The 23,565-nt window shown below is 46.6% G+C and overlaps 2 protein-coding genes across 19 annotated transcripts in view; one reads left to right on the top strand and one right to left on the bottom strand.

Annotated features, from left to right (window-relative positions):
• Window positions 1-21,818, top strand: part of TIMP3 (TIMP metallopeptidase inhibitor 3) — a 61,337-nt gene extending 39,519 nt beyond the window's left edge. The window contains exons 2-5 of the mRNA NM_000362.5: window positions 8,229-8,311; window positions 16,026-16,137; window positions 16,794-16,915; window positions 17,957-21,818. Of these exons, the coding sequence (NP_000353.1) occupies window positions 8,229-8,311; window positions 16,026-16,137; window positions 16,794-16,915; window positions 17,957-18,154 (515 nt within the window). The 3' untranslated portion in view covers window positions 18,155-21,818. The remainder of the gene's footprint in view (window positions 1-8,228; window positions 8,312-16,025; window positions 16,138-16,793; window positions 16,916-17,956) is intronic.
• Window positions 1-23,565, bottom strand: part of SYN3 (synapsin III) — a 550,562-nt gene that overhangs the window by 333,404 nt on the left and 193,593 nt on the right. The window lies entirely within an intron of this gene.

Here is a 23,565-nt window from a genome sequence, read left to right on the forward strand (position 1 = left end):
GCTGCCCGGGGAGGCTTACATTTTAATGGGGAGAGATGATCAGTAAAGAAGCAAGTTAATGTATAATGTCAGATGGTGGCCAGTGTCTGATAGAGCACAGTGTCAGGGGCCAAGGGATTGCGAGGAGGGGGAGGAATGTGCATGGATCAGGATCAGGGAAGGTCCCCCGCCCAAGTGAAGAAAGAGTGTTCCAGCAGAGGGAACTGCAAGGTCAGAGACCCTGAGAGCATGCTTGGGTGCTAGGGTGTGCAGTAGAGTGAGCTACAATTTCCTGAGATTAAGAAGGCCATGAGAGCCCCGGGTGCAGGGAAGGCCTGTTATCTGGAGCTCAGTGTTGGATGGGTCGAATTTGAGATGTTTTATTAGGCTTGCAGGTATAAATGTAGACTAAATGTAGACTCTGGGATATATAAGTAAAAAGATCATCAGGGAGGGGAACAACATACACTGGGGCCTGTTGGTGGGTGGGGTAGGGGAGGGAGAGCATTAGGAAAAATAGCTAATGCACACTCGGCTTAATACCTCAGTGATGGGTTGATAGGTGCAGCAAATCACTATGGTACATGTTTACCTTTGTAACAAGCCTGCACATCCTGCACATGTACCCCAGAACTTAAAATAAAAATACAATTTGTTTAAAAAAAAAGTTCATGAGAGTTCTAGGTTGGCGGTGGCAAAAGCGTGGGAGCTGTCAGTTGTGCAGATGGTGCTGAGACCCACAAGCTGGAAGAACATAGCAGGACCACGAGCCTGCACCTCGATGACCGGACTGAGCACCAAGAAGGTCATGGGTGACTTCGACAAGCACTGCTTTGGAGAGGTTAGGGGGGAGGCTGCCTAGGTTATTGCAGGCACCTTTGGAGGCTGGTAATTATCACCCACAATTTATCTGCTGGGATGGGAAGTGACTTGCCCAAGGTCACAGAGAAACAGGGCAGCGACTTCACCCAGACCCCACGTGCTCCATGCCTGTTTTTCATTCCAGTACGCCGTGATCACTTCTCCAGTTTTCTTGATCTGTCCTTTCAGCTTCTGAGTCTTTCAGGAGGGTTTTTTTGGGAGTTGGGATTGTGGTGATCAATAGGCTGGGAATCAGAGGGACCCAGTCCAGGCAGGCCCCTCAGGCCTCTGCTTTTCACCCTTAGTTCCGAAGGCCCTTTCCTCTCACCTAGACATCATCAAAGCATCCCCAGAGAGGCAGCAGATATCTGAGAAGGACCTTGGGAAGGGTCACTGAGGAAGGTTCTCAAGATCCTGGGGGGATGAGGAAATGCTGAATCACAAGAATCTTTCGGGTTCCTCTTGCTGTTTTCCTCTGATTAGTAAATTTAAGAATCTACAAGTCATCACCATCAGCAATATAACAGTGTATCATTTGTCTAGCTTCAGGGTTACAAAGTACCTTTGTACATATACATTGTCTCATTTAATTAATCAATCTAATTAACTTCAAACTTCCTGTGTTGGGAGAACCCTTAGGGAGCCTGTGGTTTTGTGGTTTCTAAGTTATTTGTTTTTATTCCATGAAAGCCTTGCCGGGGAGCACAAAGGTCTAAACAGATGATACGATATACTGTTATACTGCTGATGGCGATGACTTCTAGATTTTTATTACTAATCAGAGGACATGTGTTTGTGTGTCTGTGTAAGTGATTGGGAAGGGTGGTGGGTGGGTGATCAAAGGGATGTGGGGCTCACTGGGAGCTTATCAAGGGTCCTTCCTTTTAGGTATCAATCTTCTTCTCTGATCCTCTGCAGTGAAAGTGGGGAATGCAGTAAAATTATGAACTATTTTGCAACCAGTGTGAAATCCCATGTAAAGGTTTTTAGGTGGTCTGCTGTCCTGGGGGACCTCCCATTTTTTTTTTTCCCCCACTAGGATGCAAAACTGCTTACAGGCTACCTGATCCTCATTGTCCACAGTTGGAAAGTAGGGACATTAACAGCCACAACAGTAGCCACCTTACCAGCTTGCCATGAGGACAGAGTTAAAGAACATGCACACGTTGCTTGGCACCTAAGAGGCATTCGATAAATGGTAGTGGTTGTTATCAGTATGTTCTAGTTCCCTTCCTTCTCCTCTAGATTCACTAATGTGATGCTAAGAAAAGCAAGCAGTTTGTAATTCTTGAATGGGTGAGCAGCTGGAAGAGTGAGAGAGCCTGGCTCTGCCCTCCTTGGGCAGGCTACATTGTAGAGTGTCCAAGGTGGGCAGGAAAAAGGCTTGCTTGGCGGGCTCCAGGCCGACCTCCCTGTGGGTCCCTGACCTATTGCCTTTGCCATGAGCACTCCGGCCTCAGCAAGGCCGCTCCCTTTGTCATCCTGTGGGAGATGATAAAATACACACGAAGGGGCCGTGAGACAAGCTGGGTGACAGGGATCCCTCTTTCCTCCTTTTTGGTGTGTTTTCATGGGTAGGGCATCATTCCAACACTTCCAGATCCCTCTTTTCCTCCAAGTCTAGGCCGAAGATGCGAGCCCATGGTCCAGGCTTTTCTTCCTACCTAGAGCCTGCCTGCTGGGGTCCCATCAGAAGAGCAGCCCCTTCCCTGGGACTGACACTAACAGTGACTTCTGCATTTGAAGAAATGCAGTCTACCCACTAACCAGACGTCCCTTACTTATCCTTGCTGTCCTTTTAAAAACCATGCCTTAAAGCAGCAAAATCATTCTATGGGGTCTTTGGAGAGACAGGAATGGGGGTGTTGTGTGTGTGTGTGGGGTGGCGGTGGTATCTCACCTGCTAGATAGCATGAATCAACTCCTAAGTCATGGAGAGGATTTGTACTGCTCTTCCGTTGATGCTACCATGGGTGGAACCTGGACTCCTAAGTTAGTATACATTAATTAGTTAAGGAGTCCTTGATCCCCAGACCAGCCAAATGGGTAGCATTGTTGCTCGGCCTTCTAGTCTGCCAGTAGGAAAGTCCAACCATTAGGTCGGGGAAGAAGGGTCTGGATTTGGTTGACAATGGTTGGATGGGGGATAGAAGCAGAGAGAGAGAGGGAGGGCAGCTCAAGGGTATCTTGCCCCACTCTGTTTATGCTGATGAACAGCACATGTGCAATTTCTGGAGACACACCAGTAAGCTTTTCTGGAAACTCAATCCCAATTGCCATTGGAAAATTGTTCTTTGTTCAAAACTTGTGCCACTGTGGTCCATACTGCTAGAGCTGGAGGTGGGGAGAGGCAGCATGAAGGTATATTTATGGAAGAGGTGTGCCTTGTTTGCCTTGCTTTTGTAAGCTCTTACTAGCACTCTTGCCCAAACAAATATTCAAAGGAAGCAAAGACAGTTCAATAGAGATATATGCCTCTATGCCTGGCTTCTCAGGCGCATGATATATTCAAGAGGGCCCCATATATATTTATAGATCAATGTGCCCATTATATAAGTTCACACATCCTAGTTAGTTTCTTCTTAGATACTTTTACATTGAAATACTGCTTATTCCTTAATCAATCTCTTCCTTGTTTCTTCTTCTTCCTTTTTTTTTTTTGCTGAGACAGAGTCTTGCTCTGTCACCCAGGCTGGAGTGTAATGGCATGAGATATAGCTCACTGTAGCCTCGAACTCCTGGGCTCAAGCAATCCTCCCACCTCAGCCTCCTGAGTAGCTGAGACTACAGATACACGGCACCATGCCTGGCTAATTGTTTTAAATTTTTATAATTTTTTATTTTTTATAGAGACAAGGTCTCACTGTGTTGCCCAGGCTGGTCTGGAACTCCTGAGCTCAAGTGATCCTCCTGCCTTGGCCTCCCAAAGTGATGAGATTATAGGCATGTGCCACCACACCCAGCCTCTTCCTTGCTTCTTTTGACCACCAGATCCCTAGAAGCCCAGATTCTCTTCCTAAGAGCAAAAGAAATTCTAGAGAGACAAGAGAGGCTCAGAGGCTGAGATTCACACTGAGCCTCACCTCTCCCTTCTCTGATTGGTGCTTCTGTACCTTGGAGACTAGTCCTCTAGCCATAAACTTTTTTTTTTTGAGATGGAATCTCGCTCTGTTTCCAGGCTGGAGTACGGTGATGCAATCTCGGCTCACTGCAACCTCCACCTCCTGGGTTCAAGTGATTCTCCTGCCTCAGCCTCCCAAGTAGCTGGGACTACAGGCGGCCCCATGCCCAGCTAATTTTTGTATTTTAGTAGAGATGGGGTTTCACCATGCTGGCCAGGATGGTCTCAATCTCTTGACCTCGTGATCTGCCCACCTCAGCCTCCCAAAGTGCTGGGATTACAGTGGTGAGCCTCCACACCCGGCCAGCCATAAACTTTTAAACCTTATCTCCCCACTAGACTAGCCATCAGTGGAAGCGGGAAATAGGACTTCTATTTCTTGTTGTCACCCTCACCAGCACCCAACCCAATGTTCCAGACACCAACCTAGTTCATGCCTATGTTGGTTTGATTGTTGGGGGCACTGGGTAGACAGTGTAGGGGCCATACTCCAGCATGAATGGGAATAAAGACAACCTGTGTCCAGCCTGGCCCATCTGTAAAGCTGGCTTCTAGCCACCACAACAAGGTGGAAGGAATGGCTAGACATGCTGCCAGTTACCAGTTTGAAAAGTGTCTTCTGTTGTTGGAAAAGCACAACCTCCTCCCACCCCACTTCCCTTGTTCCCTGTGGCCCCTGGGCCAGCGAATGCCTCGGGAGAACCCTGATTGCCAAACAGGAGAGTACAAAATAGCACACATTTGAATTACAGAGGAGAAACTGGAGCAAATACGGACAGATTAATGCACAAACCAAATAGGTGGATCTGGGGTTGGCCAGCAATTCTACTTTGGAAGGACTTTGAGAATCTATTTGGAGGGCAGAATGTAACTTAATTTTAGTTCAGTTTAGTGAAGTTTTGTTTTTGTAAGGAAAACACTGATGTGGCCTCTTCACTGGGCCATCTCTGCCTCAGACTTTTGGAACCATGACTGTGATCTTGTTTGGCTGGTCTTAGTAGGCAATTCTTGGGTTACACATGGGTGATAAGGTGGGATGGGTACATGTGATAGAGTAGGCACTCCTGATCCCAAAATACCTCCTATACTTGTTCTGACTACTTCATCTGTGCTTCTCCACCTCTCCCTGAAGTTCTGTAAGGCTAGAATATTTTTATGAGGTTGCCTTTCTTCTCATCCTAGGGAGAACTCCCAGGCCTTAGCTTACAGTGCATGTTAGAAGTCTGAAGATGGTATGCCCTAAGATGGAATAAAAATAGACATCACCATAGTGGTGATAATGCTAATAACAGTGGTAGCAAACACATGAGGTTTGGGATGGACTACATACTGTTCTCAGCGCTTATATTAATACGACCCTCACAGCAACTTTATGAGGCATTGTTTCATCATTCCCATCTTACAGATTGGGAAACCAAGGCATAGAGAGGTTTAGCAACTTCCTGAAGGTCACCCAGCACCAGGGCTGGGATTTGAACCCTGGCTCTCAGGCTCCAGAGACCAGGCTCTTTAATGCAATGCTATGTTGCTGCTCCAATAGTAATAAGCAAATCACTTGTTAGCCACATGAGAGGCACTGGGCTAAGAAAGCCAGAGAGATTCAGGAGGAAAGAGCCCCAGAGAGATCATACAGTAATGGTGGAACCCAAACTTCAATGCAGCTTCCTGACTACAAAAACGTATTCTTTTCACTGAACTATCCTCAGATGAAAAGGTTCCAAGCTCAGGCTATTTGGGGTAAGGAAGGAGTTGGCTGGTTGTATGTGCAGAAGCTTCCAGCAGTACTCAGCTTTATGGGGCAGGTCTGCTTGTGACATCTTCTGTCTAAATCAAGTCAAGCCATTTTTGAACCAGGATGTTGCTATTTAAAGGAATCCCTTTTGCCTTGCCCCTCCCACACCCCCCGGCCAAGACTCGCTCCCTTGTTTACCTTCTGTGTTAATGAGGCAGAGAAGATGGGTCCAAATCATTTCAGGAAGAATCAGTGGTAAAGGCTGGCAGACATGCCTCTGCACGGAGGTGAAGCTGTTATAACCTGCCTGTGAGAGTTAATATGGAGGAAACAGTCCCCGGGGCCTCCGGGAGGCTGGCTTGTCGCCGAGAATACTACCGCAATGTTAGAAACAGAGGTGGATGCAGGATCTTGACAGACATTGGCCTGGGATCTTGCCAACCTCTCGTTTTTACAGCAGACTTGGAAACAACCACTCGCCTCCTCCTAATTTGAGCTGCCTCCGCTAAATTGCTCACTTTGCCAATGACTGTGTGTTTTGCCATCGCCGGCAGGGAAGGTCTGAAGGGGCCATTGATTCATCTGAACCCTGACTTCATGTCTGACTGCAAGGGTAGGATCCAAGCTCATTTGGAAAGAAACAAGACAGAATCCAGTATGGATGAGGAATCAGTTCTTAGTAAAGATTTTTTAAAAACAGAGATTAGAGTCAAATAACTGGGATACATAGTGGAGCATCCACAATGAGGAAGGATAATGGAGCTACCAAAATGTGTGTGTGTGTGTTTGTGTTTGTGTGTGTGAAGGGTATTTTACTTAACAAGCATTTATTGAGTATCTACTCCTTTTTGGGCTAAGTGCAACTTGAGATAAGAAAGATTGATAGGATCTCAGGGCTGAAGGAGTTCAATTTGTAATTCAAAGTATGACTGCATAAGCAAGCCCCATTCCAATTCCTGTTGAGGTCTTAGCATGGAAGTATCCAGCACCCTCATCACACCCCCTGATAGAGGCACTCTCTGCCCTAATGGCAGCCCCCCTGCCTTTTGTTGCTGGTTCTTATTATTAGACGATTTTTTTCTTTGGTTGAGCCAATGAATGTTACTCTCTGCAATTTCCAGTTTTGGTATTCAAGACCTGTCCATTTGCTCCTCCATGTGCCAATTTTACAAATACCTGAAGACAGCTCTTGGGTGCTTCTTTTTCACACAACGTAGAAAGAGAAGCACAACCTTGTAGAATCTAAAAGTCAAGTCCTCTCCTCTTTCTGTTCCCAGTGCATGTGGTAAATGCCTCTCTTTCAGCCCTCAACCCACTGGGTGTAATTACTTTTGTATTCATAGTTAACTAGTATCTACTGGGTAAATCCTTTCTGCCAGACATTGTAGTGGGAAATTTCATAAGATCTTTCGTTCAATCCTGATTCCAATTCCCTGATGTAAAGAGAGTTATACCCTCTTTATAGATGAGAAAATTGAGGCTCAGAAAGAGGAAGTGGTTTCACTTCTTGGTCTGTTACCTTATCTAGATCATGTGGATGCTAATACTGCCCTTGTAAGACAGTTAAGAGCAGTAAATAAGTGAAATGTACATGGCACATAGTAGGTGTGCAATAAATGGGAGCTGTTTTCATTGGAACAGCCCTTCCATGGTTAGCCCATTTCATTTTTGGTGATGATAATGATGATGATATTAATAATATTTGTCTAGTGCAAACTATGTCCAAGACAGTATCAAGAGTTTCACATTTGTCATCTTGACTAATCCCTTCAGTTCAAGAGATTAGTATCATTATGATTCCTGTTTTATAGAAGAGGAGGCCAGAAACAAAGTTACTTACTTGCATACAGTCGCAATAGCCATAAACAGCAGAGCTGAGATTGGAACAGTTCTGTCTGGCTCCTGAGCCCCGACTCCCAATTGCTCCTTCTTCTAACCACATCCCCATAGAGCTCAGACTCTATTGCATCCCTTGCTATCTAAGCACTGGATACCAAGGGCTCAATCAGAATGCTAACTGGGGGCACTGTGGGAAGCTAGGGTGCACCACAACCCTGTAGACATGTCAAGATGTGGTGAATTAATGCATGCAAAGGAAGAGCCCCAAATGAGGTGGTTAGAAAGGGGTCCTAGTGGAAAGAGAACAGATCTGGGAGACCATGGCATTGTCAGATGGACAAGGGAGGGGGGACAATGGCTCTAACAGGAGAAGTAGGTTTTGGATTATGGTAAAGTCACAAAGTCAAGAAAATCCTCAGGGTCGGCGGGGGTTGACTATAGCCTTGGAAGTTCTGGAGCTGGCAATTGTGAATATTTGGGGTAATTAACTTGAATGGTGGCTGTTTCTTTTTCCTCCAACCTCCCTCTCACCCCAGGGAATTCCCACTCTTGTAAACACAATCATCTATTCCAGTTGGCTCCAAGGTAAGAGTGCAATTCCAGGCTCCACAGAGGCTAGCGTGCCCGCCCTGAGATGCTGTTCCTGATGTGGTTCAGGCCTTCCTAACCTCTTATTGTCTCCTTCTGTCTCTGCAGTGATCCGGGCCAAGGTGGTGGGGAAGAAGCTGGTAAAGGAGGGGCCCTTCGGCACGCTGGTCTACACCATCAAGCAGATGAAGGTAGGTAATGTCATCACCCTGGCTCCGGGAAGGTTTTTGGGTTTTTGCCAGAAGAGTCCTGGCTAAGGGAGGCAAAGTGGGTTGGAACTGGGGTGTGTGTCTAAGCACCAGCCAGACCCAGCCCTTCTGCCTGCTGGAGAGGGAGCTGCTAAGGCTGCATAAAGGGATGGGTAGGGAGGGGGCATGGGGCTGCCTTGTCCAAGAGCCCATGCAGGTGGAGTCACTCCAAGGCACTTGTTAGGAAGCTGAGCTCTGGAGCCAGATGGCAGATAGCCTTGTTAGCTCGTAACCATGAGACCTTGGTCAAGTCACTGCCCCTCTCTGGGCTTTAATCTTCCCAATTGTGAAATGAGGGGGTTGGACTAGATCATCTCTATGAACTCTTCTGAGCTCTGACTATCTGGGACTCAACAGTGCTTACAGGTTTCATGCAGCCACTGAGGTTACAGCTTAGGTTTACAGCCCTCAAATCTTTACATGGAAACTGTGCTGATCACAGGAACCTCATCCCAAGGCAGGAACTTCACCTTCTTTCCCTATTTTCCCAGCTGATTGTCTTCTTGCATCCTAGATAGTTAGCAATGTTTGCTAAGCATATTCTTATCATTAAACATATTACTGAGGATATGAACATCATGAAGTACAGGAAGGAGGTATGCCCTTAAGAAAAAGAACACCAGATTTGAAATCTAGAGAACCTGCCTCCTAGTCTCACCTCTACTCCTAAATAGCCTGCTTACCTTGGGCTTGTCCCTTTTCCTGGGCCGCAGTTTTGCCACCTGTTAACAGTGTGGGGTTGGGCTTGGTGCTCCTAACATCCTCTCTAGCTCAGGCATTCTAAGCACCCTGGGATGCGGGCCATGTTACTTGTAAGGAGGAGCGGGTGGTATACAATGGAAGGGTGTACTGGTGATTGCCTTAGCACAGAAGACTGGGGCTTCACCTTGAATAACTCAGCAACTGGTTCATCACCCCATCTTTGTAAGCACCTCTCTACATGCAGAGCTCCCAGCTAGGAGCCAGGGAGGCCGTGAGGGAGATACAGTTTCCATCTTTAGGAACTAGAGTCAGGTTGGGAGAGAAGAGGCAGGTATGTGTGTGACTCATCAGAAGTTCAATGTGGGGTGTGCTGAGGTCCACAGGAACTGTCCAGCCCTTTAACTTATTGCTCATATTTGCATCCCTAGCAATTAGGGTAGGACCTGGCATGCAAAAGTGACTTGGTGAATGCTTATCTGTCTAATACGGGCATGAGGGTGAGACCCCACAGGCCTGGAAACTCCCCAGAGGAGACAAGCCGCAATGTCCAGGTAGAAGGGAGTGGAGGAGTGACGCAGCCCACGGTGGTACCCAACCATCCCCAAGGCCAACCTCCAGGCTTTCTTATTCCTGTGTCCTGAGGCTGGATGTACTAATTTTGTGGAACCTGTTGCTTTGGATTCAATTTTGCAAACATCCACAGCCTTCTGGTTATGTAATGTCCAGAGTCAGCCCTGGCCAGTTGCCCTTGGCTGCCTAAGCTTGGTCATGAGACCAGCTTATGTCTTCAGACAGCCCTGGGGAGAGAAAAATGGGCAGGGGTGGGGAACCAGCAAGAGCAACAACAACGCAAAAAGCCCACTTTGCAACCTCTGGCAGACAGCGCGGGAATGCCAAAGCATATTAGACCAAAGCAGAGGTTCAGAAAACACACGAACCTGCCTGGTCTGGAACAATCCTCATTACGAGACACTCGGTGGTCAGCAGAGAGCTGAGAGGGAAATAGCTGGGAGGCAGCAGTTCCTAAGCCTGCCTGGTTTCCTTCCTACCATCAGGGCCTGGAGACCAGGGTGACCAGAGGCCCTTCCTGTGGACATAATGTCCCATTCCCCCTTGCTGGTGTCAGACCAGCCACGGGTGGTTGTTTAGAGACCAAACAACACTTGCTAGCCTATCAGCATCAGACACTCCCACTCCCAGGCTGGTGGGCTTAGAAGACACACTCCCACTCCCAGACTGGTGGGCTTAGGCTTTCGGTTCACCATCCTTCGCCTGAGCTCATGAATCATGGTGCTGGGAATTAGATGTAGGATCCCTCGTCTTACTTCTGACAGAGGCGCAAAGGGGAAATGACTTACTCAGAGTCAAGCATTTAACTAAGGGCAGATCTGATCCCCAAGCTGAGGCATCGGAATTTCTTCCCAATCCTGTGTTCTTTATATGACTCCCAAATCTCCCTGCCATCTTAATCATCAGTCACCATCTCATGCCTTTCATTCACTCTGACCCTCCATAGAGGGTATCATGATCCATAGAACTGGTCAGTGCCCTTCTATCCAGAGACACCACTGGAATCTGCTTGTCTCTAGGTACCAGCCTGCAAGTCAGACAAGATACAGGCTAGAAGTAATAGTCCGTCCATCCATCCTCTCGTGCTTCCTTCCCACCCTCTCTCTGTGCTTAGTACTGTACTATGAACTGGGGATACAAAGATAACACTGCTTATAATTATGATAAGACTTGGCATCAGTTAACATTTACTGAGCAATTGCTTAGTGCCAGGCATTCTGCTAGGTCTTTGCATAGATCAGTACTTATACTAACACTGTAAAATAGATAACACCTTGTCCTCTGTTTGACAGGTGAGGCAACTGAGACCTGGGAGGTCATATAACTGTTAAGATTATATGGCCACAAAGTGGCAAACCTGAGCAAAACTACAGGGTCTTTGCCTATAAGGAGATAATACAGTATGGAGCAGCAGGCTGATTCATCATTCCTACCCACTTTGGGGTATATAAATGCCCACTCCATATGTTTTTAGTTCCCAGGGAACAAAAAGAGGTCAGTTTGGGTTTGTTGGTTTATCATCCAGCAGTGTAGGGCTGGACTTGTAATATCCTGCAAAGGGTGTATCAGAAAAATCTTTGTAGGAGGGAAGAGAGAGAGGCCAGAGAGGCAAGCCTGCATGAGTTTTGGCACTGGTCCCTGGGAGACTTTGTTCTAGCAGATTAGACAGTCTACCCTAGAGAGTCAGAAGGGGTGAGCAAGGGCTTCCTTAGAGCAGGACTAAAGGAACTTGGAGAACCTGAGACTCCGAGCCGCCCTGTCTGACCTCTCTCTTCTCTCACTGATGGAAGGCAGGCAGACCTTCTCCCGTCTGCTAACTCTGGAGCCTCTGACCCATCTCTCAGGAACACTTCAGTACACAGAGACCTGCGATATGTGTGTGTGTGTGAGGGAGCAGGGTGTTAGAATGTTGAGAGAGCTTATTGCAATCCCAAACTTGGAAATTAGCTGGGCTGTGGGGTGAAGGTGAAAGTTTCCAGAACTGGCTGCTCTAAGCTGTGGGGACCTTATCTCCCATCAGGACCATGAGAAACCGATCCACTGTGCCAGGAGTTATTGTTTATGTAGCGGAGACATGCTCTCCAGCTGGCTGCAGGGGACAGAACGTGGGGGACATTATGTCCCAGCTGGTCCTGGGAGGGTCCCATGGGGAGACCCGCTGGTCATGTGCTTTGCATGTCCTGACTGTAGGCAGAGCAGACCTCCAGGGACTTCCTTCCTTTAGTGGTTTGTCTAACCAAATGAGCAATAGCAGGGTCTCGCCTTTGAAGCTCTAGCTGGAAGCATCTTTGACCCCCAGCCCACAGGGAACCATTCTTCTTGCAATGCCCGTGGTTCTTCCTGCCTTAGGACTCTCATCCAGCCCTCTGCAGAGACTGGCTCCATTTCTACATTCTCTGCCTGTCCTGCTAGACAAATTGCTGTATAGAGAAAGATCATGGCCGTGATAGCTCGGTCGGTCTGTAAATAAGAATTTGTGGGTTTAAATGAGTCCGTGATGTACACCAGCATCCAGAACAGTGTTGATCTTTGGTAGGCATGCAAGACATAGTTGGAATCATTGAGGCAACTCATGCTGTCAATGTAGAGTGAAGGCCAGACATTTCATAAGAAATATGCAAATGTCCCCAGACTCAGAAACTTCTTTTTTACTTTATTTGTCCCTTCACTCCAAGGGAAGCTAACATCTTGGAACTTTGTGTAGATGCTACCAAGAAGAAGAAGAGGGGCCCAGAGGCATGCAGAACCCAGCTGAAAAAGAACAACCCACTTATGTCTGAAGTTCTAAACCAGCTTTAACTACTCTTGTTAAGAGCTGAGGAAGGGACTTAGGAGAAAGGGGACCAAACTCATTCCTCCTCTCCTTACGAATTTCAGTATAACTTGTTCTAAGCTAACTTTTATTGAATGTTGTGGGCTGACTGCTATTCTAAGTCATTTGCTTCTCTCAAACACCCTAAGAAGTGCTTTGACCCATTTTACAGATGAAGAAACTGAGACCCAAAGAGGTTAAGTAACTTTCCAAGTGGCGAACACAGGTGGCAGAGAAGATTGAAGATTCAAACTCTGGCTGTCAGCCTCCAAAACCTGAATTTACCACTGATCTCCATGGCATTGGTTTGGATTAGATTACCTTTAACATCTTTTCCAACTCTGAGATTCTAGGATTCTCTGATGTCAGGACATTATAAACCTATTATAACTCTCCTAAATTTGTCAAACCAATTCTAGATCTCTATGATTACAGACATGATACTTTTAGAATCAATATTTAAATCAAGGTAGGATTATTACACAGAAAACACAACTGAGTAGAATCTACCTTTGCCATGTTGTTCTTTTCAGAATTGACCCTAAAACACAGCGCTATGTTTGTCAGAGCCAGTCATTTGTAATGTGTCAGAATTTCGACTCTAGGCAAGTGCTAGGAGCTAAAATGCAGGTTCCTTCAAACTTCCAAGTAGCTGCGGTGCCAAGCTGATTTCGATGAGTTGAGTTCTTACTGAGCAGTTCAAATGACCAGACTGTAACCAGGGGCTTCATTCTCTCACCCACGAAGCACTAGGGCAGTCAAGGGGAAAGACTGACGCAGAAGGAATGAGGTTCCCATGGGCTGGGTCCAAAAGACCTAGAGCGAGTGCTTAGTTGAAACATTTGCCAAAACCTCAAGGAACACCCACACAAAAATAAGAAGTTGCTCGGCACAGAAGTCAGGGTAGGGGATGTTCTTCGAAGGCCACACTCCATGGCAGGCATACAGCAGCACGCTTAAACATGGTTCCTGTTAAGGCTAGAGAGGCACCATTCACATAGAAGAAGTCATCATCGTGACTCTACCCACCCCGCGCCCCCACCGCGTAATTGAATGCTGAGTGTGGACGGCACTTCTTCCAGCACTTGGCTGCGTTACCGTGCTCAGTTGGCAAGCCTTGGGGGAGAAGAGAGGTTCAGAAGGAAGACCATCTGAGTCCATCAGAACAATGTGTGCTTTTAACAAGGCAGGGGCGCCCAAACTCAGTAGGTCCAACAGACCAAGTTATGCTATGAAGGTCTTGTGGACCACCTACCCCCGCCAACCAGTCACCACTTAAAAGATGAGAAAACGCCAGCTCACAGGCCAAATGGGAGGCATTTAGAAGAGACACCAATGAAGAGATGTCTGGCTTTGTATTAATTACTGTAGGTAAATTAATACCAAATGCCAGGAAGTAAAGTAGAGGCATTTTCCTATTATAAACCCTTGGGACAAGCCCAGAGACCACCAGCAGTCCAGGGCTTGTGTACGCTGAGAACTGAGGGGATAACAGAATTGTGCAACACCTTGGTGCCCCACCGCCCCCGTTACCAAATCTCACAGTTCACAGTATCGCCTTGGCACACTGGGCTTGTGTAATACTCATGGACTTGACCTGGAATCACAAAGCGGACTCAGCTTCTGTTACATTCATTCACCCCAGTGACTCTGGGCACACACTGTGCCTCTGAAGGAGGCACAGTGGCCATAAATGGAAATAGCATTTGCCTGCTTCTGGGGACCTTGGTCATAGACTTCTGAGGCTTTCCTGGGAGCCAGTCTAAGATAATGGGTAAGAGTATGGACTCTGAAGGCAGAGTCCTCTGCTTGGAATCCTAGCCCTGCCATTTCCCAACTGTGTGGCCTTAACAAGCTACTTAGCCTGCCTGTGACTCAGGCTCCTCATCTATAAAATGGGCATAATAGTTCCTACCTCATAGGGTTGTCATGGTGATTCGTGGGCTAATATTAAAGGAGATTTCTCAACCTCAGTACCATTGACATTTGGGGCCGGATAATTCTTTGTTCTGGGGGCTGTCCTGAGTATTATGGGATGTTTAGCAACCTCCCTACCCTCTACGAACTGTTGTGACAACCAAAATTGTCTCCAGACATTGCCACATGTCCCAAATATTTCCTAGGGGGGCAAAATTGCCTCCAGTTGAGAACCACTGTATTAGATTATGTCGTAGATACAAATAGCCAAATATCAGCAATTTCACGTGGTTCAATCTAACAATTATAAAGTATTTAACAGTTAAAACTCTTTGAACTTTGTAGATACATTTATGTGCTTCATCTGGGATAAACGAACCCAATGCTTTCACCAGACGCTCAGAAGAATAAAAAACATGGAGAATTTCTAGCTTGAATTCAACGTTCACCAGCCAAATAGAATTTCTATAAAGTGGGGTTTGTAATACATCCCTCCCAGGGCTCTTTTAAGGATACTGCAAGGAGAATGTGAGTGAGAATGTTTTTGTGGGCTGGAAAGTGTCACAGAGATATCATGAGAATGCTGGCTGAGTTCACGGGACTCAGGTCCTAAGGTTGACAAAGAAAAAGGACCTTTGTCACAGCTACTTCTCTGGATTTCTGAAAAGGTGCTGGGATGTCAGACATGTGTAGCCGAAGGAGTGTTGTGGGGCAGTTGGAATGGGGGGTATGGCTGGCTGCACAGGAAGGTTTCTCTGGGAAGGCACCAACCTGGCTAGTCAAGAGGATCGGTGGCTTCATCTGGGGTGAAGGGGGCCCTGGGGTGGGTAGATCAGTGACCGGCCACTGGACAGCTGAATAGGGGAGCGAGATTCCCTCAGATCCAATGTCAGCAAGCCTTCTGGGTACTGAGACTCCTCTCCTGTGTTCCTCTTATTTTATTGATACATAATAAATGGACATATTTTGAGAGTCCATGTGGTATTTTGATATATTCAAAAATGTATAGTAATCAAATCAGGGTAATTGGGATATTCATAACCTTAAACATTTATCGTTTCTTCATGCTGGGAACATCTGAATTATCCTCTACTAGCTACTTTGAGATATACAATAAGTTATTGTTTACTGTAGTCATTCTACTGATTCAATGAACACTGGGTCTTACTTGTTCTGCGTACTCGTATTTTTGTACCCATTAATTATATCTCTTTGCCCCAATCCTTATTACCTTTCTTGCCTCTGGTAACCACCAATCCACTGTCCATCTTTATGAGATTTACTTTCTTAGCTCCCACATGAGTGAGAACATGGTGTATTTGTCTTTCTGTGCCTGGCTTATTCCGCTTAGCAAAACGACCTCCAGTTCCAGCTGCATTGCCACAAATGACAAGATTTCATTCTTTTTTCTGGATGAATCATATTCCATTGGGTATAGATACCAGGTTTTGTCTATCCATTCATCTGTTGATGGGCACTTAGGTTGATTTCATATCTTGGCTATTGTGAATATTGCTGCAGTCAACATGAGAGTGCAGACCCCTCTTCCATATTCCGATTTCCTTTCCTTTGGATACATACCCAGCAGTGGGATTAGGGATCATACGGGTGTCCAAACTGGGAAAGAAGAAGTCATGATGTTCCTTTTGCCCACAGATGTACCGAGGCTTCACCAAGATGCCCCATGTGCAGTACATCCATACGGAAGCTTCCGAGAGTCTCTGTGGCCTTAAGCTGGAGGTCAACAAGTACCAGTACCTGCTGACAGGTAATGGCCAACTCTAGCTTCTAGGCCAGGGTTTGGCCAAGGTCCACTGTTTCTTGACTTCAGAAGAACACATACGGAGTAGTTGACTCACCAAATGTCCAGTAAATTGTAAGGAGTCTCTAATGTTGAATTCATCCCACTTACCCAGTGCTAGGAGCTTGAGGCTCCTACACTTAGGCTGGACTTTGGAATTAGCTCCACCACTCACCTGGGGGAGGAAATCTCCTAATTTGTAGCTTCTCAACTTTACTGTAAATAAAAAGGGAGTATCTGTTCCTCTCCACCTCACACTCGACCTGTTAGGCCCGTCTTTGAAAGTTATTCATCTTTAGGCAGTCAGTGTAGTAAAGGAGAAAACAAAAACAAAAATCATTATAAAGGGAGTGAAGAGTTGGCCTCTAGTCCTAGCTCCAGTATTTAATGGGCTTGGGACCTTTGGCAAATCACTTTACCTCTCCAAGCCTCATTATCCTCATCTGGAAAATGGGGCTACAGTCCATTTTAAAAGGTGTTGGGTAGGGTGAAATAAAATCATGGGTCTGAAAAGTACCCAGCCACAGTGCCTGGGCTAAGTGGGAACATAGTAGGTGTGAATTCTCTCTGGGCTAGGCTCTGGACAAAACAACCTCTCCTTGTTTTCTTCTTTCCTCCTGTAGGTCGCGTCTATGATGGCAAGATGTACACGGGGCTGTGCAACTTCGTGGAGAGGTGGGACCAGCTCACCCTCTCCCAGCGCAAGGGGCTGAACTATCGGTATCACCTGGGTTGTAACTGCAAGGTAAGCTCTGGGGTCACTGGGGGAAGGAGGGGAGGTGCTGACTTGCAGCCCTAGAAACATCAGCTCCCAATGCACTGGGTGCCAGGCCCTCGGCTGGGAAGGGTATGCATGTGTTAGGCCAGGGCAGAGGGGCAGGTCTGAGCAGATATAGTAAGGATTGTTGCCCCAGGTGGGGCAGTGAGGAAGGCAGGGAAGGAAGAATGCCTTTCTGCTGTAATCGGCTGCCTCCATGATGACCACTTGGAAGCTGCTGGGGCATGAGGGCTCTTGAGTCCCTGGCCCCACCTGGCAGTTCAAGGCTGGAGGTATAGGATCCTGACACTGGCAGGTTCTCCCAAGTGGTTTCAAGTGGGCTCACCCTGGTAGCTGACTCATCGCTAACCCCACCCCAGGTAGGCAAATGGGCCCAGGACTGCAGAGACCAGATGCTACAGAAGGTCTCTCTTTACCAGGCCCATCCCCCTGACCCAAGTATAGGGCCAAGGTGCAGCCTGCCTGCTGTGGGAGGAAGTTGGGCCATTCTCTCACTTCATCTTCAAAACAGTCCTGTGTGGTTTTAATTACTATGATCTCCATTCTGCAGATGAGAGCTCAGAGAACTTAAGTAACTAGCCCTAGGTCCCACAGTTCACTGAATCTGGTTTCCAACCTAGGGCAGCTAGACTCCAAAGTTTATGCTCTAACCTTTCTAATTCCTCGATTCCCTAAAACAACTGAGATCTCCCACCTGAGACGAAAAAGTCCTCTCAGTAGTCTAATTCTGCTACTTACTGGCTGTGTGACCTGCAGCAAGTTACTTAACCTCTCAGAGCCTCCTAAAACTGTGATAAGAATTAAAGAGAATAATATCAAAGCACTTATCAGAATGTCTGTTAGACAGCAGATGCTCAAGCTAGTGCTATTTATATTATGATCACTGAGGGACTGATGTGGCTAGGCTTCCCATGCAGTGGCCCCAGGGTCTGAATCCAGGCTCGGTAGCCTCAGGCCTGGGCATACCATGGCAGAGTCCATCAACTGCTGCCTGTTATCTAATTGCAGATCAAGTCCTGCTACTACCTGCCTTGCTTTGTGACTTCCAAGAACGAGTGTCTCTGGACCGACATGCTCTCCAATTTCGGTTACCCTGGCTACCAGTCCAAACACTACGCCTGCATCCGGCAGAAGGGCGGCTACTGCAGCTGGTACCGAGGATGGGCCCCCCCGGATAAAAGCATCATCAATGCCACAGACCCCTGAGCGCCAGACCCTGCCCCACCTCACTTCCCTCCCTTCCCGCTGAGCTTCCCTTGGACACTAACTCTTCCCAGATGATGACAATGAAATTAGTGCCTGTTTTCTTGCAAATTTAGCACTTGGAACATTTAAAGAAAGGTCTATGCTGTCATATGGGGTTTATTGGGAACTATCCTCCTGGCCCCACCCTGCCCCTTCTTTTTGGTTTTGACATCATTCATTTCCACCTGGGAATTTCTGGTGCCATGCCAGAAAGAATGAGGAACCTGTATTCCTCTTCTTCGTGATAATATAATCTCTATTTTTTTAGGAAAACAAAAATGAAAAACTACTCCATTTGAGGATTGTAATTCCCACCCCTCTTGCTTCTTCCCCACCTCACCATCTCCCAGACCCTCTTCCCTTTGCCCTTCTCCTCCAATACATAAAGGACACAGACAAGGAACTTGCTGAAAGGCCAACCATTTCAGGATCAGTCAAAGGCAGCAAGCAGATAGACTCAAGGTGTGTGAAAGATGTTATACACCAGGAGCTGCCACTGCATGTCCCAACCAGACTGTGTCTGTCTGTGTCTGCATGTAAGAGTGAGGGAGGGAAGGAAGGAACTACAAGAGAGTCGGAGATGATGCAGCACACACACAATTCCCCAGCCCAGTGATGCTTGTGTTGACCAGATGTTCCTGAGTCTGGAGCAAGCACCCAGGCCAGAATAACAGAGCTTTCTTAGTTGGTGAAGACTTAAACATCTGCCTGAGGTCAGGAGGCAATTTGCCTGCCTTGTACAAAAGCTCAGGTGAAAGACTGAGATGAATGTCTTTCCTCTCCCTGCCTCCCACCAGACTTCCTCCTGGAAAACGCTTTGGTAGATTTGGCCAGGAGCTTTCTTTTATGTAAATTGGATAAATACACACACCATACACTATCCACAGATATAGCCAAGTAGATTTGGGTAGAGGATACTATTTCCAGAATAGTGTTTAGCTCACCTAGGGGGATATGTTTGTATACACATTTGCATATACCCACATGGGGACATAAGCTAATTTTTTTACAGGACACAGAATTCTGTTCAATGCTGTTAAATATGCCAATAGTTTAATCTCTTCTATTTTGTTGTCGTTGCTTGTTTGAAGAAAATCATGACATTCCAAGTTGACATTTTTTTTTCATTTTAATTAAAATTTGAAATTCTGAACACCGTCAGCACCCTCTCTTCCCTATCATGGGTCATCTGACCCCTGTCCGTCTCCTTGTCCCTGCTTCATGTTTGGGGGCCTTTCTTTAACTGCCTTCCTGGCTTAGCTCAGATGGCAGATGAGAGTGTAGTCAAGGGCCTGGGCACAGGAGGGAGAGCTGCAGAGTGTCCTGCCTGCCTTGGCTGGAGGGACACCTCTCCTGGGTGTGGAGACAGCTTGGTTCCCTTTCCCTAGCTCCCTGGTGGGTGAATGCCACCTCCTGAGATCCTCACCTCTTGGAATTAAAATTGTTGGTCACTGGGGAAAGCCTGAGTTTGCAACCAGTTGTAGGGTTTCTGTTGTGTTTTTTTTTTTTTTTTTGAAATAAAACTATAATATAAATTCTCCTATTAAATAAAATTATTTTAAGTTTTAGTGTCAAAAGTGAGATGCTGAGAGTAGGTGATAATGTATATTTTACAGAGTGGGGGTTGGCAGGATGGTGACATTGAACATGATTGCTCTCTGTCTCTTTTTTCAGCTTATGGGTATTTATCTTCTATTAGTATTTGTATCTTCAGTTCATTCCACTTTAGGAAACAGAGCTGCCAATTGAAACAGAAGAAGAAAAAAAAAAAAAGCAGCAGACAACACACTGTAGAGTCTTGCACACACACAAGTGCCCAGGCAAGGTGCTTGGCAGAACCGCAGAGTGGGAAGAGAGTACCGGCATCGGGTTTCCTTGGGATCAATTTCATTACCGTGTACCTTTCCCATTGTGGTCATGCCATTTGGCAGGGGGAGAATGGGAGGCTTGGCCTTCTTTGTGAGGCAGTGTGAGCAGAAGCTGATGCCAGCATGTCACTGGTTTTGAAGGGATGAGCCCAGACTTGATGTTTTGGGATTGTCCTTATTTTAACCTCAAGGTCTCGCATGGTGGGGCCCCTGACCAACCTACACAAGTTCCCTCCCACAAGTGGACATCAGTGTCTTCTCTGTGAGGCATCTGGCCATTCGCACTCCCTGGTGTGGTCAGCCTCTCTCACACAAGGAGGAACTTGGGTGAAGGCTGAGTGTGAGGCACCTGAAGTTTCCCTGCGGAGTCGATAAATTAGCAGAACCACATCCCCATCTGTTAGGCCTTGGTGAGGAGGCCCTGGGCAAAGAAGGGTCTTTCGCAAAGCGATGTCAGAGGGCGGTTTTGAGCTTTCTATAAGCTATAGCTTTGTTTATTTCACCCGTTCACTTACTGTATAATTTAAAATCATTTATGTAGCTGAGACACTTCTGTATTTCAATCATATCATGAACATTTTATTTTGCTAAATCTTGTGTCATGTGTAGGCTGTAATATGTGTACATTGTGTTTAAGAGAAAAATGAAACCCACATGCCGCCATTTTCCTGAATCAAATTCTGCAGTGGAATGGAGAGGAAAATACTTCTAGGCAAGCAGCTAGACTGGTGAATTGGGGGAAATAGAAGGAACTAGTAACTGAGACTCCTCCAGCCTCCTCCCTATTGGAATCCCAATGGCTCCTGGAGTAGGAAAAAAGTTTAAACTACATTCATGTTCTTGTTCTGTGTCACTCGGCCCTGGGTAGTCTACCATTTACTTCACCCCAAGTCCTGCTGCCCATCCAGTTGGGAAGCCATGATTTTCCTAAGAATCCAGGGCCATGGGAGATACAATTCCAAGTTCTCGCTTCCTCCTTTGGGCATCTCTTCTGCCTCCCAATCAAGGAAGCTCCATGCTCAGGCTCTCAGCTCTCGGGCCAGTGCTCTGCTCTGTCCAGGGTAGGTAATACTGGGAGACTCCTGTCTTTTACCCTCCCCTCGTTCCAGACCTGCCTCATGGTGGCAACATGGTTCTTGAACAATTAAAGAAACAAATGACTTTTTGGAATAGCCCTGTCTAGGGCAAACTGTGGCCCCCAGGAGACACTACCCTTCCATGCCCCAGACCTCTGTCTTGCATGTGACAATTGACAATCTGGACTACCCCAAGATGGCACCCAAGTGTTTGGCTTCTGGCTACCTAAGGTTAACATGTCACTAGAGTATTTTTATGAGAGACAAACATTATAAAAATCTGATGGCAAAAGCAAAACAAAATGGAAAGTAGGGGAGGTGGATGTGACAACAACTTCCAAATTGGCTCTTTGGAGGCGAGAGGAAGGGGAGAACTTGGAGAATAGTTTTTGCTTTGGGGGTAGAGGCTTCTTAGATTCTCCCAGCATCCGCCTTTCCCTTTAGCCAGTCTGCTGTCCTGAAACCCAGAAGTGATGGAGAGAAACCAACAAGAGATCTCGAACCCTGTCTAGAAGGAATGTATTTGTTGCTAAATTTCGTAGCACTGTTTACAGTTTTCCTCCATGTTATTTATGAATTTTATATTCCGTGAATGTATATTGTCTTGTAATGTTGCATAATGTTCACTTTTTATAGTGTGTCCTTTATTCTAAACAGTAAAGTGGTTTTATTTCTATCACACATCTGCTGTCTCTTGCCTTGTTGTGTTCTGACGCCACGGGGAGTTATGTATACACCAGCAGGCCTTGAAAGTCTATCCCCAGCTCCAGGCCTGGACACATCCCTCCCTCCATGCACCGCTATGGCCTGGCCCCACCCTGCTCCAGTCCTTTTCCCTTGCAGAAGGAATCTTAGGAGAGGTGCCCTGCCTTGACTTTGCTCCCTGATTCTATTGCTAGAGTCCTCCCTAGTTCTGCTGAATCTGGATGTATTAATATATCTGTACCTAATCACCTATTGGTGGTACAAGTACCCCCAGACTGGAGTCCTTACTCAGCCCTCCTTGTTTTCTTCCTAAGAATCCCAACCTGGTGGAGGTGGGGAGGGGCGGCCTGCAAACAGCAGTCCTTGATGTCAACTGCCTGCTTGAAATTCCAAGTATGGCTTGGCCTAGTTGGGAACACCAGGAACTCATGAGGTCTCACGACAGCTGGTGACCTTTTCCCAGAGCTTATAACAACCTCCTTTCAGAGTATACAGCAGGGCCTCTCACTGTCAATGGGCTGGGCTGGCTGCAGACCCCTCGCCTGACTTTCATCCCACCATTGACAACGTTCTAGGTTTTCACCCTTGTTTTAAAGCTACTCCTACTATATGCCAGGTACAGCACTTTATATACAGGATCTCATGAAATCCTGACTACTCGATGAGGTTGCTCCACAATCATCCACGGTTTTTACCTGAAGAAGTTGGGGCTCACAGAGATAAAGTCATTTTCCTGAGACCTAGTGTGTAGACAGAACTGGCATTCAAATTCAGGCTAGTTTGATAATGAACTCTGAATTTTCCCCACTGTAAGGATGCATACAGTAAGAAAAATCCAGGGTTTGGGGATATGCTGGGTTTCACATGTGCCCTTCTTATCTCAACCAGCATGTTCTGGATTCTGTGACTCTTGCCCGATCAGATACAGGGGAAAGATCATCAATAGAAATTCTGCTTGGTTAGAGTGATTACTCCTGAAATCTGCAGTCCTACCCATCAGTATCTCCAAACAGGACTGTCTAGCCCAGAAGCCTGAGCTTGGACTCTACAAACAGCCACAGTAAGTCCCCACCTGGGACTATGGTATACTCTATTCATTATTCTGTTCCCAAAGACGCATTCCCTGCAAGGCCAAGCGCAGGGTCACAGCCTTGAATTCCTTTGACCAGTTTACGAAGACCATCAACTATGCAAGCAGGCATGTTGCAGGCTCTTTCCTGCTGCTTAGAGCTCCTCCCCCCAACACTTTCTGGCTTCAGGTGGAGAACCCTTCACCTCATTCAGAAAGACATTCACCTCTTCCACCCAGGTATCCTCCAAATGGGAGGCTGTACCACATATCCTGAGCTAAGCCCTGCTTCCCAGAGGAGATCTCAGGTGCATTCAGAAATTGGAAAGTGAAGAGGACATGTAAGGAAACTGCCCTTCAACAACCAATGCAAATCAAATATTAATATTACTGCTTTTTATTAAAATATGAGTTGAAATCAGGTTCCACAAAAGGCTCAAGTAAAACAACATCCCACCTTGAAAACATCTTTTACCTTTATAATCAGCCTCTGGTTCTAACATGCCCCCAGAACGTGTCCCCTGATTTGCTGAAAATCTCCAAGTTCCAAGGAATGTGGTTCACCTTTGTTATTTGCCCTATTGCCTGAATTTCACCTGGAGAGACGACTTCCCTTAGGAAATCCAGGCACTCCCACAGGACACTGTGACTCCG

Source organism: Homo sapiens, chromosome 22, assembly GCF_000001405.40.
Source record: "Homo sapiens chromosome 22, GRCh38.p14 Primary Assembly".
Lineage (NCBI taxonomy): Eukaryota > Metazoa > Chordata > Mammalia > Primates > Hominidae > Homo > Homo sapiens.